Here is a 5688-nt window from a genome sequence, read left to right as displayed (position 1 = left end):
AAATGAAACTATAAAACTCATAAAAGTAAGTACATAGTCAAATTTAAAATATTTTAATAATGTAATGGCAGTGTGTAAGTCACCTATGTCCTTAGTATGAAGGTTAAGAGACAAACATTAAAAATAATGGCAACAATAATTTGTTAGGGGATAGATAATATAAAAAAGATTTAAATTTTAACATCAAAAACATAAAATGTGGGAAAAAGTAAAGAAACTTGTTTTTTTTTTTAGTACAATCAAAATGAAATTGTTGTCTGTTAAAAATAGCCTGTTATAACTATAAGATGTTTTAGGTAAGATTCATGGTAATTGCAAAGCAAAAACCTATAGTAGATACATAAAAGATAAAAAGTAATAAACCAAAACACGTCACTAGAGAAAATTACCTAATCACAAAGGAAAACATTTAGAGAGAAAGAAACAAACAACCTACAAAATAAGCAGAAAACAATTAACAAAATAGAAATAATGTCTTTACCTGTTTATAATTACGTTGAATGTAAATGTTTTAAAATCTGCAATAAAATGACATAGAGTGGCTCAATGGATTAAAAGAGAGTTAACTATAAGCTGTCTACTAGAGTATAAGAGACTCACCTCACCTTTATGGACACAAGCAGACTAAAAGTGAAATGATGGAAAAAGATATTCCATGCAAATGGAAACCAAAAGAGAATGGGGATAGCTATATTTATATTAGATGAATAGATTTCAAGTCTAATACTGTATAATAAGACAAAGAAGGCCGTTATATAATGATAAAGGAATCAATTCATGTCTTTGATTTTCAAGAAGATATAACAGTTATAAATATATATGCTCACAACCTCAGAGGAACTAAATATATAAAGCAAATATTAATAGACCTGAGAAGGGACACAGACTGCAATAAAATAATAGTAGGGAATTTCAATATCCCACTTACAACAACGGACAGATCATCCAAGCATAAAATCAATAAGGAAACATTAAACTTGAGCTACACTTTAGACCAAATAGACCTGACAGGTATATACAGAACATTCCATTCAGCAGCAGAATATGCATTTTCTCAAGAGCACCAGAAACATTCTACAAGATGGATTATGTATTAGGCCACAAGACAAGTCTTAACAAAGTTAAGAAGACTGAAATCATATAAAGTATCTTTTCCAACCACAATAGTATAAAACTAGAAATCAATAACAGGAAGAATTTCAGAAAATTCCTGAATGAATACGTGGAAATTAAACAAGATGCTCCTAAACTAGCGATGGTTCAAAGAAAAAGAAAAAAATAAACAAAAGTATCCTGAGATGAAAGATAATGGACACGCAACATACTGAAACTCATAGGATGCAGCAAAAGCAGTTTTAAGGGGAAAGTTAATAGTAATAAATGTCTACATAAAAAAGAATAAAGATCCTAAATAAACAATCTTATGTTACATCTTAAGAAACTAAGAAAAGGAACAAACGAAGTTAGTAGAAAGAAGGAAACAATAAGAATCAGAGGAGAAATTAATAAAATAATAGAAAAACAAGAAAAAATATTAATATATCAGTTGGCTTTTTAAAACAGATAAAGATAACCAACAAACATTACCTAAACTAAGAAAAAAAAGAGAAGACTCAAAATCAGAAATAAAAGAGGAGACATTACAACTGATGTCACAGAAATACAAAGTGCCATAAAAATTACTATGAACAATTATATCCCAACAAATTAGATAACCTAGAAGAAATAGATAAATTTCTAGACCCATACAACCTACCAAGACTAAATCAGTAGGAAATAGAAAATCTAAACTGATCAAGAATAAGTAAAGAGATTGAATTGGTAATAAAAATTCTCCCACCAATGAAAAGTCCAGGACCTGTTAATTTCACTGAAGAATTCTACCAAATATTTAAAGAATAATACCAGTTCTTCTCAAACACTTTCAAAAAATTGAAAAGCAAAAAGTACTTCTAAGTTCATTTTACAAGGCTACATTACCCTGATACCAAAGCCAAGCAAGAATACTATAAGAAAGGAAAATTACATGCCAATAACCCTGATGAACATAGATGCAAAAAAAGTCAACAAAATACTAGCAAATGAAATTGAACAGCACATAAAAAGTATCATTCACTATAATCAAGTGGGGTTCATCGTAGCGATGCAAGGATGGTTCAATATATGCAAATTAATAAATGTGATGTGTCACATTAATGGAATGAGGTTCAAAACTTACATGATCATCTCAATATGTGCTTAAATAGATGACAAAATTTAGCAAACTTTCATGATAAGAACTCTCAATGCAATAGGTATAGAAGAATTACACCTCAGCACAATGCCATGGCTAACTTAATATTCAACAATAAAAAGTTGAAAACTATTTCTCTAAGGTCAGGAATAGGACAAGAATGTCCACTCTTACTGCTCCATTCAACACAGGACTGGAAGTTCTAGCCAGACCAATTAGCCAAAAGAAAGAAATAAAAGGCAGTCAAATACGAAGGGAAGAAGGTAAATTGTCTCTGTTTGTAAATCATAGGTTCTTATATACAGAAAACTCTAAAGACTCCACCAAAAACCAGCTAGAACTAATAAATGAATTCAGAAAGTTGCAGGATTCAAAAATCAACATACAAAAATCCATAGCATTTCTATACACGAACAACAAACTATCTGAAGAAGAAATCAAGAAAACAACCCCATTTATAATAGCCATAAATAATAAATTTAGCCCAGAAAGTGATAATCTATACACTGAAAACTATAAAACATTGATGATAGAAAGTGAAGACACAAATTAATGGAAAGAAATCCCTAGTTTATGAATTGGAAGAATTAATATTATTAAAATGTCCATACTACCCACAGCAATCTATCAATTCAATATAATTTCTTTCAAAATTTTAATGCCATTTTTTCACAGAAATAGAAAAAACAATCCTAAAATGTATATAGAACCACAAAAGACCCTGAATAGCCAATGAAATATCGAACAAAAAAATGAAGCTGGAAGTATCACAATACTTGACTTCAAAATACACTCCAAAGCTGTAGTAATCAAAACACCTTGGTACTGGCATGAAAACAGACACATAGACCAATGAAAGAGAATAAAGAGCCCGGAAATAAGTCCACACATTTATAGCAAATTGATTCTTGACAAAACTGTCGAGGACACACAACGGGAAAATAAGAGTCTCTTCAATAAATGGTCCTGAGAAAACTGGATATCCACATGCAAAAGAATGAAATTAGACCCTCATCTCACACACCATATATAAAAATTAATTCAAAATGTATTAAAGACTTGAACATGAGACATGAAATAATGAAACTACTTGAAGAAAACATAGGGAAAAATCTCCATGAGATTAATCTGGGCAGTGAATTTTTGACTATGACCCCCAAAACACAGACAATAAAGCAAAGATAGACAAATGGAATTACATCAACCTAAAAAGCTTCTGCATAGCGAAGGAAACAATTGACAAAATAACGAGACAACCTATGGAATGGGAGAAAAAGTATTTACAAACCATACATCTGATAAGGAGTTAATATCCAAAATATATAAAAAACTCCAACAGCTCAATAATAAGAAAAAAAATGATTAAAAATGGGCAAAAGACCTGAATATATATTTCTTTAAAGAAGACATATGAATGACCAATAAGTATATGAAAAATACTCAACATGACTAATCATTAGGGAATGTAAATTAAAGTCGTAATGAGATATTCCCTCACAACTGTTAGAATGACTATTATCAAAGAGATGAAAGATAAATGTTGGTGAGGATGCAGAGAAAAGAGAACCCTGTATATCATTGATGGGAATGTAAATAAGTACAGCTATTATGGAGAACAGTATAGACATTTCTCAAATAATTAAAAATATGATCTAGCAGTTTAACTATTGGGTATATATCCAAAGAGTATGAAATCAGCATTCCAAAAAGATATTGCACTCCCATGGCCCTTTTAGCATCATTCACAATAACTGAGAAATAAACCTAAGTGTTAATAATAGATAAATGGATAACAAAAATGTGATATATATACACAATGGAATAGTACAATTCGGCCTTAAATATCCAAGCCACAACATGGATGGACCTGCAAGACATTATGATAAGTGAAATAGGCCAGGTACAGAGAGACAAATACTGCATGATCTCATGCATATGTGGAATCTGTAAAAGTCAGACTCAAAGAAGTAGAAAGTAGAATGGTGGTTATGAAGGGTTGGGGTGAGAGGGGAGTTGGACAAAGGATACAAAATTTCAGTTAGGAGAAATAAGTTCAAGAGATCTATTGTACAGCATGGTGGCTAGAGTTAAGAACAACGTATTGCATTCTTAAAAACCTTTAAGAGGGATGTTAAGTGTTCTCACCTCAAAAAATGATAATGATGCATGTTAATTAGCTCTACTGAACCATTCCACAATGTATACATGTTTCAAAACATGATGTTATACCCAATAAATGTATACAAGTTTTGTTAGCTGAAAGATAATTTATTAAATATAATATTAAAAGATTTATTTCATGGACGAGTTCATAAGAATTTTTATAAAATTTTTGGATGTTTAAAAAGAATACATAAGATGATGACATTGGTTTTTCTACTACTAGAGTAAAAAGTTACAAGTAAGGTAATTGGAAAGACTAGAATAATATGATACTGGGCTAGAGTCAGATAAATCAGGATGAGCTTATGTTTATATATAGGTGTACCTCATTGTATTGTTTTATTTTATTGCATTTTTCAGATATTATATTTTGTGTAGATTGAAGGTTTGTGGCAACCTTGTGTTGAGCAAGTCTGTTGGCACCATTTCCCCAAAATAATGTGCTTACTTCATGTCTCTGTGTCATATTTTAGGTAATTCTTGCAATATTTCAAACTTTAAAAAGTTTTTTAAAAAATGAATTTTTCTTTTTTTTTTTTTGAGACAGAGTCTCATTCTGTCACCCAGGCTGGAGTGCAGTGGCGTGGTCTCTGCTCACTGCAAGCTCCACCTCCCGGGTCCACGCCATTCTCCTGCCTCAGCCTCCCGAGTAGCTGGGACCACAGGTGCCCGCCACCATGCCTGGCTAATTTTTTGTATCTTTAGTAGAGATGGGATTTCACCATGTTAGCCAGGATGGTCTCGATCTCCTGACCTCGTGATCCACCCGCCTGGGCCTCCCAAAGTGCTGGGATCACAGGCATGAGCCACCAAGCCCGGCCAAGAATGAAATATTTTTAAGTGAGACAGGGTCTCACTATGTTGCCTAGCCTCGTCTTGAACTCCTAGGCTCATAGGATCACTTTTATTATCATTGTGTGTGTTATGGTGATCTGTGATCAGTAATCTCTGATGTTACTATTATAATTGTTTTGGGGTGCGATGGATCATGCCCATATAAGATGGCAAGCTTAACTGATAAATGTTGTGTGTATTCTAACTCCTCTACCCATCAGCCATTCCCCTGTCTGTCTTCCTGTTATCTGTCCTCTCTATTCCCTGAGGCACAACAATATTGAAATTAGGCCAATTAATAACCCTACAATGGCCTCTAAGTGTTCAAGTGAAAGGAAGTGTAGTTGCACACCTCTTACTTTAAATCAAAAGCTAGAAACGATTAAGCTTAATAAGGAAGACAGGTTGAAAGCTGAGACAGACTAAAATCTAGGCCTCTTATGCCAAACAATTAAGGA

Source organism: Homo sapiens, chromosome 8 (assembly GCF_000001405.40).
Source record: "Homo sapiens chromosome 8, GRCh38.p14 Primary Assembly".
NCBI lineage: Eukaryota > Metazoa > Chordata > Mammalia > Primates > Hominidae > Homo > Homo sapiens.
The sequence above is the reverse complement of the archived record's forward strand: the minus strand, read 5'-3'. Positions refer to the sequence as shown.